This window comes from Homo sapiens, chromosome 18, assembly GCF_000001405.40.
Source record: "Homo sapiens chromosome 18, GRCh38.p14 Primary Assembly".
In the NCBI taxonomy this organism is placed as follows: Eukaryota; Metazoa; Chordata; class Mammalia; order Primates; family Hominidae; genus Homo; species Homo sapiens.
In genome coordinates this window covers 55,105,509-55,130,581 of record NC_000018.10, presented here as the reverse complement: position 1 = coordinate 55,130,581, position 25,073 = coordinate 55,105,509, and the positions used below count along the sequence as shown (strand labels likewise).

General features: G+C 40.2%; 1 long non-coding RNA gene across 1 annotated transcript; it reads left to right on the top strand.

Moving 5' to 3' along the window:
• The first annotated feature begins 6,275 nt into the window (after positions 1-6,275).
• LINC01929 (long intergenic non-protein coding RNA 1929) lies at positions 6,276-24,678 on the top strand. The gene is made up of 3 exons (NR_110743.1): positions 6,276-6,462; positions 13,499-13,628; positions 21,929-24,678. It is a non-coding gene; the product is annotated as a long intergenic non-protein coding RNA 1929 (long non-coding RNA).
• Positions 24,679-25,073: the final 395 nt, after the last annotated feature.

Genomic DNA, 25,073 nt, shown 5'->3' with positions numbered 1-25,073 from the left:
TTTAAAACAATGTAATTCAGCCTGAATTCAATATACTTCAAATGCCTTCTTGGTTTAAAAAGTGAAGATTTATCATTATTGACGATTTTTGAAAGGAAACAATGTAAACTCATCATTACCACTGTCACCATTACAAACATATACATAAGCTGTTACGATGTGCCAATACCATGTTTAGTGAACTTAATTATTAAATCAGTTAGCTAAATTTATTATTTCATTTCCATAACAACTTTATAAGGCAGGTACTATCATTGTTTCCATTTTACAGATGAGGCTCTGACCCCTTAGAAAAGTTAGGGAACTTGTCCAGAGGTCACACAGCTAGAATTTGGTAAACTGAAAAATAAATAGTGTTAATTTCCTGGGGCTGCCATAACAAAGTATCAAAAACTGGGTGGCTTAAAACCACAGAAAATTATTTCTTCATTGCTCTGGGGGCTAGAAGTCTGAAACCGAGGTGTTACAGGGCCGTACTCCTTCTGAAATCTCTAGGGAAGGAGGCTTCCTTGCTTCTTCCAGTTTTTGGCAGCCCCAGGCATTCTTTGGTTTGTGGCCACATCCCTCCAACCTCCACCTCCATCTTCACAGGGCTGACTTCTCTGTGTCTCTATGTGTCTGTGTCTTCACATAGCATTTTCCCTGTGTCTGTATCCAAATTTCCTTCTTCTTATAAGGATGCCAGTCATCTCAGATTATTAAAGCCTACCCTAATAACCTCATTTTTTTTTTGAGGTGGAGTTTCACTCTTGTCCCCTAGGCTGGAGTACAATGGCATGATCTTAGCTCACTGCAACCTCCGTCTCCCAGGTTCAAGCGATTCTCCTGCCTCAGCCTCCCGAGTAGCTGGGACTACAGGTGCGTGCCACCATGCCCGGCTAATTTGTATTTTTAGTAGAGATGGGATTTTGCCATGTAGGCCAGGCTGGTCTTGAACTCCTGACCTCAAGTGATCCACCCACCTTGACCTCCCAAAGTGCTGGGATTACAGGCATGAGCCACCACACCTGGCCATAACCTCATCTTAACTTGATTAAATCTGCAACAACTCTTTTTCCAAATAAGACACTGTCACATTCATAGGTGCTAGGGGGTAGGACAGCAACATTTTCTTTTCCCAGGGGGAAAACAATTCAACCCATAGCACATACCCAGTCCATCTTGTTGTAGAATTCTTTTTTTGTTCATTTGTTTTAGAGACAGGGTCTCACTTTGTCACCCAGGCTGGAGTGCAGTGACATGATCATAGCTCACTGAAGCCTCAAACTCCTGGGTTCAAGGGGTCCTCCTGCATCAGCCTGCCGAGCAGCTGGGACTACAGGTGTGCACCACCACACTCAGCTAATTTTTATTTTTATTTTTTGCGGAAACAGGGTTTCACTATGTTGCCCAAACTGGTCTCGAACTCCTGGGCTCAAGTAATCCTCCTGCCTTGGCCTTCAAAAGCACTGGGATTACAGGCATGAGCCGCTGTGCCAGCCAGAATCCAATGTTTAATAATTCTTTCCTTGAGGCAAATTCCTAGAAGATTTTGCTCAACAGAAATGAACAGACCCTCAAGGACCCCATCCTGCAGAGGAAGATGCTTTATTTAGGGGCATGATTTCTGACCTCTTTACTTAGCAATCACCCGACTATATAGACACCACGAAAACCCATCAACAGACTGGGACTCCACAAAACAAATAAAATAAGTCTGTTTCAAATTCTTATTTGGGATTCCTTTCTCTTCCAAATTTTCACAGAAGCTCCTTGGCCCTTAATAATCCTGGAACAAGAGAAAACGGGGTCTTCCTTCAGGCTCCTGTTGCTCACAGACCCCAGTGAGCTGAGGCAGTTGCTATGGAGGAACAAGGCTGCTCTTTTCCAGGCAGGGGGCAAAGCTTGCTGCATGTTCAGCACCTGAGCCCTGCAGCCTGGGAGTTCTTCACTTGTCTCTGCTCCTCTGGGCACAGATCCTTGCCACTAGACTGCTGGGGTAGCCAGACTGGAGTCTTTTTAAAGGTTAGCAAGTTTGTTTGTTGCCATCTGTCTTTCTCTGTGTGTGTGTGTGTGCTCGCTCATGATTCTGTACAATGTGCAAATTTAGAACTTGCTTGGAACAATGCTGAGGGAACAAACCTCGGCACTGGCTCTCAATCACCCTGGAATCCAGGGGCACAGGGATTCCTTAGATGTATGTGTCTTTCAGGCAGCAGTAACTGGGATAATAATATAAGCAACTGGGACAAAATTTTACAGCTGTAGGGGACCACTTTGTTCAAACTCTGAATTGTGCTATTGATGAAATTGAGGACTACAAAATTTAAGTGGGTGACCCGAGGTCACACATCAAGTTTGAGGCCAAGCGGACGGGAGGGCTTAGATCTCCATCTCTCTGATTCTCAATCCAGAGCGCTCTTCAATAAACTAATGAATCAGTACATTTTATAGAGCTTTCCCCTTCAAAGGGTTCTCAGAGAACATTTCATCTTTTCCTCCCAACAACGTAATAAGAGAATTGATTTGCTTCCATTAAGAGTAGCTCTGCATACAGCATACATCCTTCTTGCAAACCAATCTGGTTTTATTTATTTATTTACCAATCTGGTTTTAATTCCATAAATGCTCTGTCTCCTTTCTTATGTGTTTATGTTTATTTCTCTGTACCTTTGTATTCTGTTCAGGGTTAGCAAAGTTCAGGATTTGTTTTCCACTCATGGGTGGTTTGGTTTCTGATAAGAACTCTATCTTCTCCAAATTATCCTCATAGTTCCTGAAACAACACACCCTAAAGCTATGCCTATCATTGGTAGTTGTTACCTTTATTACTTTCGAAACTTCTACTTCCATTTTTGTTTCTATGCTCATCTATCTATCCCTGAGAGTTATTTCTCTGCCATTGCTCTGCCATGAGGGATGTGAAAAGAATACAGGTTTTGGGTCATACATATGTGGGTTTGAACCTGGCTCTGTCACTTACTGACCACATGACCACTGTGTTCTTAATAGGTACGAAACGAAACAAAACAAAACAACAGAAGATATGTAACATTTGTAAAAAGGGTGTCCTGATGCTTATATAGGATGACAAAGATTTAGTACTTGGTACATAGTAGGTGTATTAGTCCATTTTCTTACTGCTATGAAGAAATACTCAAGATTCGGTAATTTATAAAGAAAAAGAAGTTTAATGGACTCACAGTTCCACATGGCTGGGGAGGCCTCACAATCATGGCAGAAGGAGGAGCAAAGGCATGTCTTACATGGTGGCAGACAAGAGCGTGAACAGGGCAACTGCCCTTTATAAAACCAATTGACCTTTATAAAACCAGATAAGTCATGAGACTTATTCACTATCACAGGAACAGCATGGGAAAAACTTACCCCCATGATTCAGTTACCTCCCACTGGGTCCCTCCCATGACACAGGGGGATTATGGGTGCTATAATACAATTAAATATGAGATTTGGATGGGTAAACAACCAAACAACCACTTGGATGTTTAGGTATTCAATAAACACTAGCTCCCTTGTAAGAAACCATACATGAAACTTATACTGATGAGCTATGCTCCTCTATCTTGATTAATGCTTGAGTTTATTCAAATCATTAAAAAAATCATAAAGAGGGGCAAATGTTGTATCAGCATCCAGATTAGTTGCCTTCACACTCCCTGAGCAAGATATGTGGATAGGAGCAAATGCATAGGGTGGGGCAAGATTACACTGTGTCTGATGGCTCTTCTAGCTCTGATACTGCATGATTTTAGTAGTGTTGATTGTGAGCACCTTTTAGAGGAGCCTGAAAAAAACTTAAGTCACTGAAAGAAAGTTGGGGATTGTTGGAAAACTATCTATCATTGACTAAAAGAAAGAATGTTGCATTTCTTACACATCTATCATATGCCAGATACTTCCTATTTTGTGCTTTCATAAATATTATCCCACTTAGTCTTCAGAAGAACTCTTTAATGTATGAGTTATTATCCCATTTTTCAGATGATAAAATGAAGCTCAACTTGTTATTGTAGCTTATAACAAGCTACAATAACAACTTGTAATGGAGAGAAATGTGAATCCAACTTTCACTTTCCATGATGTCTCTCTATGAAGGCTGGGCCTTGCAATGCGTGGGCCAAGCAACTTGCAGGTAAGGTTCACAGTGAAGGTTTTTATAAATGGACTCAGGGAAGCCTTGAGAGTCCCAGTCATTCCTTTCTTCACCTGAGTGCATTAGCAGATGGCTTCAGAGAGCCTCCAGAAAAGGATCACCTGTAACCCACCTCGGGCGTTTGTTTGGGATGATGTTATAGAGTGAGTGCTTGTGCCCCCCTGTATTCATATGTTGAAATTCTAACCTCTAATTGGGATGGTAGTTGGAGGTGGGGCCTTTGGGAAGTGATAAATTAATGAGGGTGGTGCCCTCATGAATGGGATTAGTTCCCTTATAAAAGAGGCCCTAGAAAGCACTATTGCCCTCTTTTTAACCATGTGAGGACACAGTGAGTAGAGAGCAATCTGCAACCTGGAAGAGGACCTTAATGCTGGCACCTTGATATTGAACTTTCAGACTCCAGGACTGTGAGAAATAAACTTCTGTTGTTTATAAGCCAACCAGTCTATGGTACTTAGTTACAGCAGCAAGAACTAACCAAGATAGATTATAAGTGACATGGGGAGACACTGGCCAAAAGGACAGATGGCTCTTAGAGTGAGTGTTGCTGATGGATCATGAGAGTCACCCCCAACCCCCGACCATCAGAACAAGCCCTGATAGGAAATGCAGAGTGGGTGTGTGCACATATTTGTAGTCCATCGTGGCTGGTAAATAGTCCCAACTTATTTCCAGGGATGTGAGTTAAACAAAATGGCAAACACTACATGGAAACGAGAGGGACTGATTGTGCATAATATTTATCACCTCTTTAAATAAGTTAATTTTCTTTACCATCCTTGCAATGTATTTCATTCAAAGATTATTAAATTTTGTGTGTTTGCCTCACAAATGACCTGTAAGTCGTAAGTGTTTATATCCAAATTTTTTGGAAAAAAAAATCATCTCAGGGTCACCTGCTTGGAGAAAAGTCAAATCTCCAGGTAATTTTTGAAAAGTCATGTTCTAACTCAGTATTTTTATTTCTCAAATAACTTATTCAAATGTTTCTCTGATTTGTTCAAAATTGATAATTTTATGTTTTAAATGTCTCAGGGTCTATAAATGCTAACCTTAAAAAAACTAACTTGCTGTAACTGTGGATATTTTCTTTGGAGCATGGGGATCATTGTAGGGACAAATACTGGAATGAGTCTAATTATATCCAAACCACTCCACTAAATCGCTGCTGAAAGCACAAGCCAACGATACCGTACATCCGAGTTCAGGAAATCCATACCCTTAGTTTGCTGAGATTGGCTGAGGACAAAAGAAAAGCCTGAACCTATGGATCCAATGTGTATCTCCTCAAAATGAACTGTATCTCTAGAGATTCTCCATCAGCTCTGTGTGGGTTTGTATTTTTCTCTACCAGATGAGAAGCTGTGTTAAGAATGAAAGTAGAAAAACATCTATTTTTCTTTGCGACATCTTTCTTTTGTTTCCATTTTATCCAATACCATCTGGAAAACATGAAGAGATATACTGTATGTGATATATGAACACGTTCAGCATCATTGTTGAGATGGAGAGGGAGTTTAAAGTGCAGTAAAGGAAAAATTATAGGCTGAGCTTGTAGATCGTAACAAGCTAATGATAGGACTATCAGCCAGTTCAGAGTATTCCCTAAAACTGTACACTGTATGTGTATTCAGTGATTTTTGCTTTATTATTTGTTGGATTTTAGGATTTATATATGTATGTTATTGAAAATATAGAAAGATGCCATAGTAATTAAAGTCAGGCTGGATTTATCATTCTTAGAGAATTTGTAAAGAAATGAATATGTTATAGGCAGTTGACTTGGAGATTATGCTAGCTCCATAACTTACATCTGAGATCTTCCAAGCTCATATTATGTTAACACAAGTCACTCCTAGGGCTTGAATGAAAAATGCATGATTGTACTACAACGCTGTGTTATTGTGGCATTTCTCCTCAGTTAGTAAGACTTTTTCTCTTCCAAGTGTACTTATAATGGGCTTGGTAATAAAAACCAACAAATTTCTTGGAAATTGTTTTCTAATGGTGACAGTTTGAATATTACAGAACAATAAATATTTAGTTGTCTCTATGCCATATAGCCACTTCAGTGAGTGTGACTCACTCTTTGAAAGATTACATCCTTCTTGGGCTTTTGGTGTTTGTCTCCTGGGATGCTGTGGGGTTGACCCTGGATAGCATTCACGGTCATTAGCTCATGGTGTTCTTGGGAGACATTTGAAGTCAGCTGGTGTCCTGCTGATGGAGCTGCTGAGTTCAGCATCACATCGACATAATTTCATGATGCGTTTGCATGAAGGGCTTTGGTGCCATTTCTGAGTGAGGTAAGCACTTTTGGATTGAGTTGACAAAGTTAGCTGCTTGTTACCTGATTTGCAGGGTTCTGTTTCTTGGATATCCTTGCCTCTTAGTTTCTCCACCAGTGATACACTCTAATGTGCATTATTGCTGCTTGTTGTGCAGTGCTTTTGAAGGTGAAATACAGCTAAAGAAGTTTTCTTTTGATATACCACTAATAATGTAAATCAAAGGGCTTCCCTCAAATAAAGCTATAAAGTGTGGTTTATTTTATTTTATTTTATTTTTCTAAAATGGCAGAGTTCATGGTTTCATTAAGCTAGGGTTTGTTGGTTTTATTCATCTAGGGACACTCTAGATTTGAGTAGACTTCTTGATATTCATTAGTAAAAATAACAAAGTTTTCTCTACTTTTATTTGAAGAACTGCTTTCTCAATTAAAACCCTGAAAATTTGTACTCATAGGGGAGAAACAGCTTCACTTTGATAGTACAAGTTAAATATCCCTTATCTGAAATGCTTGGGATGAGAAATACTTTGAATTTTTTTAAACTTTGTAATATTTACATTATACTGGTTGAGCATCCCAAATCTGAAGATCTGAAATCTGAAATGCTCCAGTGAGTATTTCATTTGTGCATCATATTGATGCTCAAAAAGTTTTGAATTTTAGCCAGGCACTGTGGCTCACACCCATAATCCCAGCACTTTGAGAGGTCAAGGTGGAAGGATTGCTTGAGGTTAGGAGTTCAAGATCAGCCTGGGCAACATAACAAGACCCCATCTCTACAAAGAATTTAAAAATTAGTTGGATGTGGTTACATGCATGTGTAGTCCCAGCTACTTGGGAAGCTGAGGCAGGAGGATCACTTGAGCCCAGGAGTATAAGGCTGCAATGAGCTTTGATCATATCACATTGCACTCCAGCCTGGGCAACAGAGTGAGAACCTGTCTCTAAAGAATAAAAGAAGGTTTCACATTTTGGTTAACTTCAGATTTTGGATTTGAATTTGGGATGTTCAACCTGTAACAATCACATTGGACTAAGACTGATCTGTATACCATGACTAGAGGCCAATTCTGCACCAGTGGGGATCACCAGAAACATGCAGGTCAGCAGAAGAATCAATGATTCTCTTTGTTACATGGGAGAGAGATGTCTCCCCTTCAGCTCTGTGTTTTCCTGGGAGTAGATCGAGCTTCGTGGGTCCTCAAGAACTTAGTATCCTAGTGCTACCATATCCTCTGTCACTACAGCAAAGTTACTAAATTGCTTTGGGCCTTGGCTTCTTTGAACAAGGTTAGTTCCTTTCTCTCCTGCATAAGGTTTCTGTGAAGCTTGAGAGAGAATATGAATAGAAAAGGTCTGGCATAGTAGCCAGCACTTAGATGGCATTCCATCAATGTGACTGTTTTTTGTCCTTTATGAAATTGGCCCGATGACTATGCTTAAGAGCCAACAGGAAGTAGGTTTCCCAGAGAATCCCTCTTCATCCTGGATCCATTCAACATCACACACATGTATGTGCATGTGTGTGAGTGCGTGTGCACACACACACACACACACAAACACGGTTTTCCATTGTCCAGCATGGAGTCTGAAATTCTACATTGACGGTATAGCCCTTTGGAGGATGGAGTAAGATTGCAGTACTTTTTGGTAATAGACACTTCTTCTCCTTGGGGTAGGATTAAACTTTAGTGCCCCATTGAGACCAGGCATAACTATGTTATCTGCTTTGGCCAATGGCATGGGAGAGAAGTGTTGTGTGTCACTTCTGAACAGAAGTTTGATGAGCCACTCTGTACCTTGCCATACTGTTTTCCTTTGCCACATTCACAGGCAAGATATGAGTTGGTACCAGCCTGGGTCCCACAGTGGGAATCACCGTAATGGACAGAGGTTCCCTTCTCCCACTGGTTCACACTGGACATGCGGTATGATTGATAATAATCCCTGTGGTTTTAAACCACTGAGATTTGGGGGTTGTGAGCACAACATAAACTCATGAAGGGAATTTGAAGGATAGAAGTCCTGAATGGAAATACAGGAGGCTACTGAAGCCGACTTTGCATGCATCTTACAAGGATCCTTTTCTGACACTACCTGTGCCCCACCCAGGAAGGCAGAGGTTGCAGCGAGCACCTGCAACAGAGCTATCTAATAGGGACCAGGAAGCACAGATTTGAATAAGGCCTTGGTGGGGCCAAGTGAAAAATTTGTGGGTTCAACTTTCAGTTTTAATAAAAACATCTTAGTCCCGTGATTCTCAAACTTGAATCACTTGAAGGGATTGTTAAAACACAGGTCAGTGGGCCCCATCTCAGAGTTTCCAGTTTGGGAAGTCTGGAGTGAAGCCCAGTAATATGTATTTCTAATGAGTTCCCGGTGATGTTATCGCTGTTGGCTCAGGGCCTGTCTTTGACAACCACTACCTTAGTTCCACCAGGTAAATCAGAGACCCTTTCCTTAGAATGAAAGAGACAGCTGAGAGGAAGAGGCCGCCTTGCTGAGATTCAAGCCTGTTCTTCCTTTTTTCTTTTAGACCAGACACCCTGACAGGTGACCCTAAGCGGGCCACCCACGCTTCCTGCCCAGGAGTCGATGCCACAGAGGACATGCTTGGGCGTTCCAAAATCTCCCTCTGTATTATTTGAAGATATATCTCAGTGTTATGCTCAGAAGTATGATGAAGGGATGAATAGATGACTGGCCTAAGTTTAGGAAATTTTAGGCATGAGATTCAGAGTTAGGGAAGAAGAAATGCTTTCTACAATTCATGGGCCACAAGACACATGGACACCCCAAAAATGGAGCCCATGAAAAGTCATATTGTTATGGAGTCCGTGGAGGTATTTTAGGACTGCTGGGTACCAAGAAGTATGTGTAAACAAAGATAAGATTAAATTAATTTTATATTCCAGAGGGTAAAATGCCATGAAAGTTTCTCTCCCAGTTCAGCAAGGAAACAAATCTCAGAATCTGTGAAAATATTTAGGTAGGTGATGTGGCCACTGCAGGATTGCAGTTTTTCCCATTTGTGGTTTGGGAACTAGAGAGGAAAAGTAATCCAAGCTTTCACAGAGTCATCAAGGGTTACATGGAAACAGGAAATTAACTATCCATTAAAAAAGCAAAGAATTATGTCAAAATACTTTAAAGATTATAAAGCTAATTTAGAGTTTCACAAGGACACAGTTAACATTGGAATGTATTATGTACAGTGATCTAAAAAAATTACACAGCTTCTTTTAAAATGGATGGAATAACTATATATATAGATGGTCACTAAGAACATTTATTCTTGTGAGAATGACAAGACTATGCAAGATAAAGAAAGTTCTTACTTTTGAACTATCTTTACAGAGGAAGAGTTGTTTTGCTTCTCTTCTTCAAACAGTAACTTCTATTTTTGCGTCCCCTCTGAGTCTCATGATGTTTGGCCAGCATTAGATTTCTATAAACCTAATAGAATTGATAATATGAATGGGACTTTTATAGAATTAAAATGTAAAGGAGACTCCTGGAAAGTGGTATAAAACTTTGGAGAATAAAGTCTTCCTCTGTTCTTTGCACAGGACTAAAGTAACTCTCCATATTGTTCCTTTATATTATGACCCATGGTGGCAATGACAGACCTAGAACAATACTGTTTTAAAATTGTGTCTCTCATAATAAGCAAAACCAGCCAAGAGTTCCAGGGTAGAGCAAATTAATGACTATAAGGAGGAATCATCCAGTGTTTGGGGTACTCTACTTTTATAAAGGATAGGCGAATCTCTTGCCAGTTACCGCCGTGTTATTTTAGGGAGGAAATTGACATTTCATGATGTTCCATGACTTACTTAAGTAAGAGAACAGAGAACCAACAATGAGTTTTCTATGCTTCAAGTTTGATTAACTAGGATTGTGCAAGGCTGCATTATGAGCTTTGTGGTCCTCAGCATTTTTACCTTCCAGGCCACTTCCTCCATAAAGAAAATTCAAAAATATATTTTAAAACTGCATTGGTATAAAGACAAATATATTAGTGAATTTATTTGTAAATATGCATTAATATTGTATTCAAGTTTTCCTCCTGATTTTAAAATAATGTAAAATTAAAGCAATTATCTGGACTCCTAAAAGTGTTGCAGGCCCTAGTCATTGTGCTTTCTATGCCTAGTGGGTAAATCCACTCCCAGATCATGCTTGCCTGTCAATATTGTAAAAAAAAAAAAAAAATCCTCATTAAAAGACTGGCTTATTAGCATAAGGTCTGCGGGTAAGAGAAGGAGAATTATGTGAAATAGAACCCCAACCAAACCCAAAGATACGTGCATAAGCCCACGTCCAGCCTATATCAGCTAAGCAGATACATAAAAAATAAATAATTTTTGTGGTTTTACGACATGGAGTTTTGTGGTGGTTTGTTATGCAGCAATGACTAACTGACATATAAAGTCTTGGCAGCTATTATATGGAGTTAGATTTTTTTTTTTTTTAGAGTGCAATGCAAAACCATTGGAAGGTTTTAAGCAGGGGAGTACACAATCTGATTTCCTTTGGACAAAGTTCACTGTGGCTGTGGGAAAGAGATTAGAGTGGACGACAGGAAACCAGTAGGAGGCTATCGCAGTCATCCAGCTGAGGAAAGATGACTTGACACGGTAGGCCTGGGGGCAGGGGTGGAAGTGGAGATGGAGAGAAAAGGATGGGAGTCCAAACTATATTTAAATTTTCTGCTAGGCCCTGTGAAGGATGTGAAAAGCTACAAGGAATTACAAGACCATGTTATGCCTTAATTGGAAAGGATGAGAGATAGATTGTTTCTGGAGACAGGAATAGAGAGTTGGTGAATTTTCTGATCACATACAGATAGTCCTGCTGAATGTTCCTAAACTCACTGAGGGCCAGATTCAACTTTTGAAATCTGTTTGTGGGAATCAAAGTTGATGGCAGAAGCAGATGGCTGTGAAGAATGCTATGGTGTAACATTTTGTGGGTTATATTTTAACAGGATGGTAACTGAGCTTTTTGAGCCTGTCTGGTCTATGCCCTCCTCAAAATTCTCCATCCATCTCCCTGTCTTCTCTCCCTTTCTATAATTTGCAACAATTTGATTTTCCCCCAAGGAAGTCTGCTTTCAGAAAAAGTTGCTTGTTTATCTTTGGTTTAGCCAAAGAAACAGAAACGTTTCAACATAACCACACCCTGATTTCACTTTGCCATATCATACAATTATAAGATGCCATTTCATTATAAAATTCAAAGAAACATTTCACACATGAATTCTTAATTCATTTCCTAGAGGCATGCAGGATTTGGTGTGGCTATCAACAGCTTCCTTGTTCTGAGGAGTGAACTGAGGTACCATGTGCTAAAGCATCTCCCTGAAAACATCTGAGGCAGGATTGAAATGAGCTTTCAGATCCCTTAATTCTTAGTTTAGTAGGGCCTCTCCCTAGATCATGCCAGTATAGCAGGAATATATTACGCACATTTTAAATCTACAGGCTTTTCAATAACTTAGAAATATATTGATCTTTCCTAAGAGATTTTCCCCATTTTTCTTGCCCATTAACATTGATATAAAAATATTAAAAATAAAGCCTAATAACAATGCATCTCATTAGCACCAGGATCACTTGAATAAAATAATTTTTTTTGCAGAAAGGTTTCACTTTATTGGACGTTGTTCATCCATTGGTTGAAAGAAATTATACTTTGTCAAGAATAGTATAGAAGAGGAAAATCTGCCTAAAGTTTCTGAAGAAAACCAGTGACAATCTCTTAACAATCAACGTAATGCAATGTTGTTATTCCTAGTTTTATTATATTTACATTTTTTATACTATGTTTTATACTTAGGCTTTACATTCAGAATTATTTATATTTCATTCTCATGTTAATGTTAGTTTGAGATTCTTTGAGTGATATTTACATTTGTCTGTTGATACAAATGGGAATAGATATATTTATTTTGGGGGTAGAACCTAAAAAATTGTCCAAGTCACTTCTTCTTTTTTTCTTCCTCACAAACTGTTTTAGTCTTTGAAACTTTCATGTGTTTTGGCATCATTCAAGTCTCCACTGTGCTTCATTCCTTATTAAGAAACTCAGGCCTTAATTAACTTGCTGTCCCTTCATTTGAAACTTACTCCGTTTGATAACTCTTTGTTGCTTCTAGAACGGTTGGTGCAGGCTTGTGTGGGCTTCCATAACACAAAAGCCAGATGGATTTTTTAAAGCAGATAAATTTAGTCTTGAATAGAGAACTGTGAAAAAAAGAGAAAAGAATCATTAAAAAAAAAAAACCCACAAAACAAAACAAAACAAAAAATCTTGGTACTGATAAAACCAGTGAGAAATCACAGATTCTCAAATTAGGGGAAAAGCAAACCTTTTTCTTGTCCTTCCCCTCCTCCTTCTTCTACTTTTTAATTTGTTTTGGGCTCAAGAATTGAAAAGTTCTGTTCCCAATTAAAAACAGATCACATTTGGGTCTGAGGGGGAGTGAGCCGCCTCATGATATGAGTATGAGACAGAAGGCTGTAGATAGATTGAGTCCCTTTGATAACCAACACCACTCTCTCCGTGTGCTAATTTGCAGAATGGGGAAAATATTGGCATGTTGCCTTCAGAATCCTTTGGAAGAAAAGCAGTAGAAATATGAAAGCATTAAAGTTCTGTCCAAAGTGTTTACCTTACGTAACAAATTTATTAGGGAGTCTCAACTTGTTATGGGTATAAAAATGAAACAGTTTTACACTTATACAATGACAACCCCTTCAACGAGGATATGTTGACCCACCTTTCCTGCTGGAAAGTAACTCCCTTAACAGCAATTTGGCCTGCTCCTCTAACTTTCCTGTCACTTTTGGTTATTAGAACAGTTCACTTTGTTATTTAAGATTCAGTCTTTTGTATTTTGATACTTCAGTCTCAAATCAGATTCAGAGCTTGTGTTCTCCCCCACAAATGTTGACTCCCCCAGTCTGTGACTCCAGTGGCTTGAAGGTTGGTGGTTTGTTCTTCGTGTACTTACATATTTCCTTCTCTCTTTGAATTCCTTTCTTTAGACTTCAGAAGCCTCCTGAATCCTATTCTGGCCCATCGTGGCATGGTCAGCAGATGAGAAACAGATGGACTGGTGTGTGGTGGGAGGAAGCTGTCCTGGTCGAGCTCTGCTTCAGGCCAGTCCTTTCTGAGGTTGGTGCTCTCAGTTCATTGGCAGCCTCCATAGAAGTGGTGTGTTTGAGGGACAGCATTCAGCTTCATCTTGGCCCCCTCCATCACTGGGAACTTCCACCTCCACCAGAGAGGGCAGTTGTATATTGGCCTTGAGCAGTGATAAACATCTCCAACTCCTTGTCTGTGCTGGGTCTCCTGTTGCTTGGTCCAGTGGTCATCCTGAATGGTTCTATGGCTCTTATCATCAGCTTCCATGTTGCTTCCCATGGAGCTATGGGAGCCACTGGAGTCCTCTTTTGTATTTCCCAGGTCCACAGAGCCTTGAAATGGGATGGGGCTGCCCATATCTCATTTCCAGGTATATTGCATGACAAGCCATTGCTGTCTTGGGCTACTGACCTAGAGCAACTACCTTCAGGAATCTCTGGTCTCTAAGCGAACACTATTTACTATACTCAAATATGCACCTTCCCAAAACTCCAGGTGACATATATCTAGTACACACCCTTCTCTCCTCTCACCTCAGCAGGCATCAGGAAATAAAAAGGATAGTGTGCATTACCCCTCATTTCCTAGTATCCTCTCTCAATGCCCCACTCCTCTCATCAGAGAAGACCTCAAAATCTGCAGTTTAGCATGTATCCAGCCAGCCTACGTCTCTTAGAGTCACCTTCAGCATCTATTCAGGATTCCCTTGGAGATTGCCTTACTTGGTTTTGAGGAGAGAGAGGCACCACCACTAGCCACAACTACAAAGACATGACAGAAAAAACTTTCTTCACTAGCATGCACTTCACCAAATACCTACTGAAGTAAAATATCAGGTTGTCCTCCTTCCAACTTCAAGATTTTTTTTGAATGTGGCTGCCTCTGCAAAAACAGAGCCTGCTATTAGCAAGCAACTTTATGTTACCACTCTCCCATCCCCAACTCAAGTCTTTTCTTAATTTCATTGGGGATAGTTCAGAGATGGAGCCTCTAGTAAACCTTATGGAGACATGTTTATCACCAACAACTCAAGCTCACCTTTGGACTTTGACCATGGTTCTGAGACAATAGGAAACATCTCCCTCTCCATCCTACTTTGTAATTTATTGTCTTCATTTGAACTCACCAAACTCTTTCTGGTGTTTTTTCCCCTATCCTGTGCTGATTCAGACAAGGTTGTGAGTAAGCTAGCAGTTTCCCAAGCTTATGGGCTAGGCCCCTAGCCTGGCCAGTCATCCAGAAAATGTGTCCCACAGGCCACGAGCAGGATAGTATGGTGGGGGGAAAAGTTATAACATGGGTCTGAACCTTGGTCATTGGTCCATGGCTGGCTACCTGTGACCATTATCTTTTTGGCGCTCTAGAAGTGTGTTCCTGATTTCTGGAACAAAGGTTGGACTAGTAAATTTTAGTAGTAAAACCCATATTTTTTTCCAAATTGGCTGTTAAAACCTAGACCTTCTTTCTTCCCAGGCAGAGACCTCATGGCATGAAATATGGCGGCTCTGTGGTAGAAAATTTGAGACCTACTGAAGTAAAATATCAGGTTGTTCTCCTTTCAACTTTAGGATTTTTTTTTGAGCGTGTCTGGCTCTGCAAAAACAGAGCCTGCTACTAGCAAGCAACTTTATGTTTATATTTATCTGACTTTCCAAATGTCCGTTGTATACTGAGCTCACGATTAGTAAGGCCGTTTCCTTGTGTATTTTCCAAGTGTTGTGGATGTTTTTAAAAGTCAAAAATTGGTGATGCTTATGTCTACTCCATATCTTGCAAAGTCAATGCTTTGAAAACTGCTGCTCTCATAGCACTAGAATAGCATTTCCCAGGAAATTGGACACTAGTCTCTTGGGATGCTCTCTGAAATGAAGAGCTTTATGGTCCAAAAAATTGTAAAACATGCAGCATTCCATATCCTCCTCTTGGAGCTTTAGTAAGAGCTCAGAGAAATTCTGCAGCAAACAACTTGTTTAACTTTGTATGACCTGGTATTTCCCAACATTTGGAACCTATCTATTGTTTTCCCGTGTAACATTTAATGCCATTTGGTAGAAACAGTGCTCCTTCAAATACAGTTTGCAATTCACTGTCTTAGAGCAGGGGCTAACACATTTTTTTTCTGCAAAGGGTCAGATGATAAAAAATTTAGGCTTTGTGGCTTTCACTGACTCTGTTGCAGCTTCTCAACTTTGTCCTTGCTGTACAAAGGCAGCGACAGGCATATCTAAAAATGGGTGTGGCCATGTCCCAATAAAACCTTATTTACAAAAACAGGCAGTGGTGTAGATTTGGCCTATGAGCTATGGTTTGCTGATCCCAGTTTGTCCATTAAACAAGTGAGATTTATCCTGACTAGGGAAGGTACAATCTCAAATAGTGAAGCAAAAGCTTAGTTCTTTCCTGAGTAATTACTAGAACTTTGCTGAACTTTGGAGACTAAGCCACTGAGGATACCAGTTTTTCCCTGATCATCTTGAGAATTACAGCAGGCTAAGTGACTTGTCCCACACTGTTTAGTTTATCAGACATCTATCTAGCTGTGAAATCTTGGCCCAGCTCTGGATCTATTGCTAATCATCAGCCAGACTCACTGTGATCAAAGACGGACAATAGAACATGGAGCAAGTGGACCAACCACTTAGTATCAACTCAATTATTCTGTCTGAAATGAACCATCTATGTTTTTCAAGCTTACAAAAGGAAAATGTTATAAACATCATTAGAGGCATTCAGATGATCCTGCCTGTTTTCTGAATGGTTAACCATAATTAAATACTGTATTAGTTATCTAATTGCATACCAAATTACCTGAAAATTTGGTGGCTTAAAACATCTAATGTTTTCAATCTCACAGCTAGAGTGGGTCAGGAATCTCGGTGGCGTAGTTCAGTTCTCTGGCTCAGGGTCTACCATGAAGTGTTGGCCAGGGCCGTGAGGACTCAACTGGGGTGAATCTACTTCCCAGCTCATTCCCACAGCTGACCTCGGGGCCCTTGGACTGGCAGTTCCTTGCCTCATGGGTCTCTTCCCAGGGCTGTTCACAACATATGAGTTGTTGTTCCCTAGAGGAACTTCCCCTAGAGGGAAGGCTCAGAGAAAGGAGGCGGGGAAGGCAGGCAAGACAGAAACCAAAGTTTCTTTGGAACCTTATCTGGAAAGTGCCATACTATCACATTTGCTATTTTCCACTTGTTAAAAACATGTCACTGGTTCCAGCCCACACTCGAGGAATGTGACTCTACAGAGGTGTGTATATTAGGAGTCTGGGGTCCTTGAGGGTCATCACAGAGGCTGCCTACCACATATACTAATTTCATTAAGGTCTTTTTAATTATTTCTTTGTGCAATGAGGGTTCAAACTCCCTGGCCTTGAGTAGCAAAGGAAGATGTCACAGCCACAGTAAAAGCATTAGGACGTGTCTTTATGAGTACTCAAGAGGAAAGAAAAAGAGAAGAAATAAAGTATGCATGTTGCAAGGTGGAAGGGATGGGGAAGAGAAAAAGAGAGACAAACGAAGAATTATGGAGGCATTTTTCTAGAATTATATGTCTTCCTTTGGAAGAAAGGAAGCAGACTGAAAGCTTCCTGAAAGAGATATGGCCAGTGGACTCCTAAAAGTCCTCTTGTTCCTGCTCATTCCTCAGTTCTCTGGGTTAGAAAGTGTCTCACGTTCTCCACTCATTCATACATGTTTGACTATTATTGATCTATTATTACCAAAGTAATTGGCTGAAATTTTATAATTTTGGCTGTCCACTTGCCAAAAAAAAGGAAAAAAAAAAAAAGATGAACAATCAGCCCCATACCAAGTACTAAAGGGGATACAATTGTATAATATATCTCCTGCCTTTGAAGATCTTATATTCCAATTAAGGAAATAAGACAAACATATGGAAACAGTTATGTTAAAATTAAAGATTTAAATAACAGTTTAAGGTAAGAGTAGAATGTTGTAAGGCAGCATGTGATTAATTACCAGACAAATTATATAGAATTCGTTACTATTGGAATCCAAGGGAGAGACTGATCATTGTGAGCAAGGTGATTGGGGAACATATTGTGAAGAAAATGATAAGGATCTGGAAAGGGAGAGTAAAGTAAGGGCATTCCAGGTGGATGGGATGGCATGAGTAAAAATAAGAAGGGAGGACAGGTGTTTTGGGGGAACAATGAGTTAACCAGTTTGGAGAGTGGGTTTTTGGAGGCGAGTAGTCTGAAATGAGGTAAATGGTAAGTCAGACAGCCATGCAGGAACAGGTTGAGTTTAATTATCTAACCTGTGCTTGGTCCCTGAGGCAGATGGCTCACCAACAAACATGCTTGAATTACCCTCTATTAGAATTTTCAAAAAGGGGTAAGTTCCAGGTTGATTCACTGAACATCTTGGGCTCCCATCCCGTGCCTGTCTTTTAATAGCAATTGGTGGCAAATGGAAACGGTACCTGTGCTTTGTCTCCATAGCAGCAACTCACAAAAGCCTTGATGGCACCCAACTGAAAGAGCCTGAATTGTTGTCACCCCCCACTGAAAGACGAGGAGGCAATACAGGGAAGGAACGTGGCTGTTTCAGGAGGCTGTGGGATTAGGGAGACAGGTATGCTGGGCACCAGGAGATCCCAACCGAAGTAGAGTTGCAAAGAGGATTCAGGGTATCAAATCATAAAGCATTCAAGTTAAGACAGCAGGAAAAGATGACACTGAGCCTGCCTTCTTCACATTCTGAGAACTTGGAACCATGGAGAAGGGTCATAGAACCTTCAGAGAAGACCTAAAGAAACCCCTAAGTAGATGTGACATCTAATTCAACACCACCCCCTCCAACTTCCTAACTTTTACGTTACTCAATCTCTCTAAATTCCATCTGCTCATCTATCAAATAGCTATAACAGTATTACTCACTATATCCATGACATTGTTTTGGAAATTCAATGAGTCCACACGTGTCAAAGATTTCAAAGTGCCTCCCAAAAAGTTCTCATAACTCTTAGGTACTGCTTTTGTTGCTGCTATTGTCAATCTGTTCTTCCTGGCATCTCCATATCTTTGATAGTCATAAAAGCACATAACCACATAAGGTGGTAAAATCATAGTTTTCTCTTAGATGTAGGTCTCTTTGAAAGGCTTGGAATGACCCAAGGAAGGCTTAACATTAGAATGTCTCTGGGTTTTAGAATGTTTCTCACTCCCTCTTTCCTACTCCCTCTCCTGTCTCTGTCTCTTCCCTCCCTTCAGTAAGCCACATAGTCAATGCCTTCTCTGTGCCAGGCACTTTGCAAAATACTTCTAGCATTTCTAGGCTCTGGATATGCAGATTTGGGCAAGGCCAGTAATTAATTTTTGGCTTCTGAAAGGTAAGTGATCATGTTCAGGTGTGGATTCAGATAAAGTAAGTTAGTAGGGTCTCTCAGTAGAGGAAAAAATGGGAGATTTCATCTTAAGAAGGAAGAGGATGAAAATGTGAACCCAACATGTGCTGTTTGGGAATAGATTCCAGTGGTGTGTCTGGAGCAGCAGGGGGGCATCTGTGGGTGTCCACAGGCAGCTGGCCAGCAGGCAGACAGCACAGGGCTCAGAACCAAGGCCTCCTGGTGCAGGGAAGGTATGCAGACAGCACCTGGGGCCCCATTTCTGTACCTGGCCTGGCTTCCCAATCCCATCAGCTGCTAAATTATGGGGAGGAGAGTACCATGAAGGCAACAGAACTCATCTTCTTTTAATTATTATTCTATGGTAGTATGGTCATGACTTGTATTTAATATCTTCTGGCTGGCAACAATGTACTGAATGCTCTGCAGACCACAGCATTAAGCATGGCTGGCCATTGGCTGTTATGCTATGGGCTGACATCTTAATTCTACAGACATGAGATGCTTGGGGAAGAAAAGGAAGGCTCCTATGGCACCAGGGCAAATAGCAAGATGGTAGCTCCTTGGTCCCAGACTTGGAGTCCTTGACCTCAGCCTCTGTCCAGAGGACCCTTCCCACAGTTGCACAGCAGGACACTGATTTATGATACTTCAAGAGGTGTTTTCAAAATGAGTGGGCACAGAAAAAGTATCTAAAAGAGTTTAAGATATTAATTTATTTCAGATATCCAGGATACTCAGGAAGACTGCAGTGAGAAGGGATCCCACAACAAATTATGACCAAAAATAGCTAAGAATATTGCATTTCCAATTTGCCAGTATGCTAGTGGCGTAGGAGGCTAAAGGCTGGTATGAGCTCAGCCCGGGCTTTTGCCTGCATTGTCGGCATCCCAAATTAGCAACAAGTGTCATCAAATATATGAACTGGGAGGAATTCCAAAGGAACCAAATCATTGCTCTCCAAATAGATGGAGAGAGGATGTAGTGAGGGGTCAGAAGTGGAGAGGACAGGCACAGGAAACGTTTGTGGTGTCATTTCTGTCCCCGGACAGGATGCCGGAAGGAGAGAGGTCAAAGCAACAGGAAGTCTAGCATCACGGTACAAAACGTTATCAAGACTGATGGGATTTTAATTGTTTCATTCTTTGGGGCAAATGCTGTGTGATCACTTAGCCATCGAATCTCTATTGTGTTATGTTTTGTAAAATTTATTTTTAATTTAAAGTCAATATAGGAAAGGTTGAACAAACAAAGGTAGAGGTGGGAGTGCAGTGGGGGAAGAGCTTGTTAAAGTAAACGATCCAAAAACTACAAAAATGCTGGAGGACTTTTGTGCAGGTCTCTCCCAAGCTGCATTTCCCACTGGACATCTGGATTATAATTCAGAGTACCAGTTTCTGGCTTTTGGCCCTACTCAGATCCTCTGAGTTTCCAGTCTTACCTAAGTAATCCTCCCTAGAGGAGTTTATGTGATAAACTCTATCCACTCCCCTGGAGGTGTATGTATCAGAAAGTCCTTTGAGTAGGCCACAGAGAGAGAATATAAACTCCTGCACCTCCTGGGCTGCCTGAAGTTCCCCTCAATCACACAATTCCTGCTGCTTTGGCTGTTGGTTAGCATGACAAAAGCAACTCTTCAACTTAGGCTACTCTCTTCTAAAGGCTAAGGGACAATTGATAGCATCATCCCCTCAAATCTAGGAAGAAACTATGAAATGACATACCTCTTTAGAAAATGATTTGCCCATAGAAGATCTCAGTCTATATCCACGAGAGAGAAAGAGCTTAAGTGTCATTCAGATTTACATCTCTCCAAGTATGAGGGGTTGGGGGTTGGATAGTATAGCTCACAAACATGCCCTTGGAGTAAGGAAAGCTCTCAGCATTTGAAAGTGTTCTCCAGGCTGATGCAGTGTTGTGTTCCAGGTTCCTCTGAGTAGCTCCTAAACTCAATCTGAGTTCTTTGTAGCAACCTGCGTGGTGCCCAGGAGCTGCCCATTTGCCATTGGCCTGACTAGTTGGATTTTAGTTGCTGGACTCTAGTCCAGGGAACCTACTCTGAGCCACCCTCCATCTGAACTTCACTGTATTCATATTCTCCCATGATTTCAGGGCTATACTAAGACTGGGATAAAAACTGCTGAGTGCTGGCATGACACAAGATGGAAAATATGGGCTATCTCACATGGCTAGAATCCCCATACCCTCCCATAGGAAAACAGGTCTAGCCATTCAGCCCCAGAAGTATATCTTGGCCATTTTCTGAGAATAAGAAATATAAGGCTATTTAAACTGTATTTAGAATATCCCCAATCTTCAGATTAGATTGATGACAAAGATTTCAGAAAGAAATATCATTTGTTCATTCACTTATTAATTCAAAAAATACCTATTAGATACCTACCATGGGCAAGGCACTCTGCTGGATGCTGGGAAGATATGAGTTAAGAGGACAGACATTTGTCAGCTCCCATGGATAACACAGAATAAAGCAATAGAGCCATTCTTAATTGTGATATGCGCTGAGAAGATAACCAGCAAGGGACTGAGATGGACGGGATCTTTTAGCTGGGTGCTAAAGGCTTACTTGAAGAGTTGACATTATCCTGAAAAGAAGAGGGGTTTCTTTTTGAGAAAAAAAGGAGAGGAAAGGGAGAGACCATCAGTAGAGAGAGCAAAGAACATGTGCACAGCCTTGAGGTGAGGAAAAGCTTGTGTGCTCCAGGGGTGGAATGAGAGGAGCCCAGTGGGGCTAGAGGATTGTGACCCAGGGAAAGAGGAGTCAAGATTGGAAAGAGTCAAGGGCAAGATCAAGGATGGCCCTAAAAGCCAGAATGGGAAATTGTTTTACTCTGAATGTGGCAGGAAGCTAAAGAGTTGTGATTAGGGCTCATTAAATGAATGAAGGCGAGTGACATGATACAATTAATATTTTTTCATTTGTGCTTCTTCATTGAGAATAGATTGGAGAAGTGAGAAGAGGAGCAGAGAGACCAGCTGGGAGCTGCTGTAGTAACCCAGGTGAGGGAGATGGTGGTCTGGACCAGTGCTTCGCATGGAGGTGGACAGAAGTGATATAACTGATTTAAGTCAACCAGCTGCTTGATCCAAATAATGCCAAATGAGTTTATTGCCATCTCTTCATATTTTACAACCAGATCACTTCTGCATAAAACCACATGGAAGAATAAGAAGGGAAAAACAATCAAGCAATAAACTGTTCATCTGAAAATAGTTAAATTCTCCAACAGTTGATTTTAAAATATTTTCCTAAAATCTATTAAGATTTGTTCAAAGTAATTCTTCTATGGAGGCACATCTCTGGACTGAAACAACCAGCCTTTGCCTTTGGTGTGGTCCTGTTTCAGTCAAAATGGCTAACAGGCTATGAAGAAAATCAAATTCCAAGTTACTCAAATGTGGAGAAAATCTGGAGGTCTGGTATGGGCATCTTTTCAAAATGTTTTAATTACACATTGATTTACAAATGACATTGTCTAGTATGGTAGTTTTAAAAAAATCATCATTTTTAAACATCTGCCAAATTTTAAATGGTAGTTTTTCATGAAAGTACAAAGAAAACTTCATCCACGATCACGAAATTTTCCAACTCATATATCCTGATCAAAACAAAGACTTTCTATGGACAATTGTTGAACCACGCCTGACCTTGGACCCTGTGCTATCTACTCTTCTCAGTGTCATTCTCTATCTAGTTTGGCTTTTCCAAGTTTAATCACTAAGATATTCAGATATTATTACAAAATATTATTACAAGCCCTTTAATTACCTTGATAATATTACTGGCAATATTAAAAACTTTTAGCAGTATCTTTCATGGTGTGTGCTTTGCCTGAAAAGGAAAGATATCTCTGATTAAAGTTTGAAACCATTAATAATATAGAACACCATACAAATGACACTTTTCCAAATTAGAAATTTTAAGATCAAAGATTATTTACGGGCTTATATTTGTATCTAATTTTAACATTTTTATGTAGAGAAGAGGTCTCGCTGTACTGCACAGGCCAATCTCAAACTCCTGACTTCAAGCTATCCTCCTGCCTCAATCTTTTATTTACTTTTAATGCTATTCTTTGTTCACTTTGCTGAGATATCTAGGTCAAAGCCTAAAGGCTATGTATTTTAATTTCAAGGCTGCATGTTTATATCCTCTCATACCACTAACATCCTGGCTAATGTCTTAATGACTAATTTTTTCCAGTTTTACCACGGAATTGTCTTGAAGTTGGTGCATATTTCACAGACTCCAATCTGAAGTGTGGATCACAGCATTTGTTAGAAACTAGTTGACTTTGACTCTTTTTCACTCTGAGATAGAATCTAATTGGACCTGTTATCTTGATTTTTATTGGTCAAAGCTTTCATTTCAGGCCTCCTAATAGGATGCTGACCAGCCAATGGAATGTTTGCCTTTGGTCAGGTGTTCACCCTCTGGTCCAATTAGCCGAGGCCAAAATGTAGTAGGGAATTGTAGCCAAAGAATGGATAAGGAATTTCCTAAGGCAGTCTTGCTCAGCAGGTGCTATGTCAGTTTTTAGAAGAGTTTGTGGTTGTGATAATTGCTCTAAGGGTTGGCCCATACTGCGTATGATCTAAGGATCTAAGAATAATTTATTACCAAAGTAGCAAAAGAACTTCTTGTAAATAACCTCTGACAAATATTTTTTATTGGCGTGTACCCTAAAGATAGCAGTACAGTGAAGCTCCAGTAACTGAAAAGATCCTGGATTGGTATTAAGAAATTAGAGTTAAAGGCTTATGTAACTGTCTTATAGATAATTTTAGGCAAAGCAGTCTTGAAATAAATTCTGCTAATCAGTTAAAGAAACAGTTGAATATTTTTTAATAGCAAGAGCACTAGTCTTAGAATCAGGAACCATGGGTTGGCTCTGAGACTCTCTGTCTCATCTTGGGGAAATCATTTCAGCTTTCTGGCCCCACCCGGTGTTTTCCCGGAGCCCATAAGATGAATGTTGTAATAGGCTACTTCTACTTCTAAAGCATCCTTGATCTGAAATTTGAGAAACAGAACTGAGAATCAAAATGAAATAAAAGCTTGAATAGATGTTAGGAGACCAAAAAAAAAAAAAAAGCCAGAGAGAAATTATTTATAGAGCATTCACTATGATATCCCGTGCGCTTTACACATGTTGACTTCTCATTCCTCAGAGAAAGGCTCTGAGGTTGTATCCAGTTTACAGTAGAAAACAGGTAAGATACCTTGCCCCAGCCATACAAACTGTAAACAGTGGAGTCAACCCAATTTTGTTTAGCGAAAAGAATAATAAAGTGCTTTCCATCATACCAAATTCTTCCTTAAATGCAGGGAGAAACAATGCTTATGGAAAAATAGAGGCAGGTAAAAAAAACAGTAATGTTTTACGAAGAAATAACAGCATTTTCACTAAATGATGTGGAGCTTGGGTTGAGAATGCTGATATATGACTCAGAATTCAAACCTTTTGCACTGATTGTTTTCACTTAGATTTTATGAAAGCTGTAGGTGTGTGAGTTAACGAGGAATGCTTCAGCACTTCCCTGGTCATGCATAAACATCTACATGCAAAACAGCAAGGAGTGCTCTGTTTATCACAGCTGCAGTCAAGCCAACAAAACTGTTTCTACCACTGAGGATGAAATTTGTAAAATTTTCTCTCAAAAAATAAAATAAGCCTCTTGTTTGATTGCCATTTCTTTGAATTTCCTGCTCAAATGCCATGATTCTATTAAGTTTCCTTTGAAGTCTCTCAAAGGAATGGAGTCACTAAGAGAGAGTCAGGCTCAAGGTTTTAATTGTGAAAGTCACTTTGACCAACCAACCAACCAAACAAAAACACCAGATTTAAAGCAGCATCAGAAGTCCCTCCTGTTTATAACATGCACCTTTGTTAACATAAGACAAATAAGAATGCTAAGTATAATGGAAATCAAAGGACTAAGATCTTACATTTACATAGGCTAGCATTGTGCAAAACCCTATCCCCTTTGGAAAAACCTAAATATTTTTTCCCATGAGGAATCTGCTCTTGAGGAACTGCCACCAGGTGAGAATCAACATCGAAGTTTTAGCTGAGCTTTGCCTTC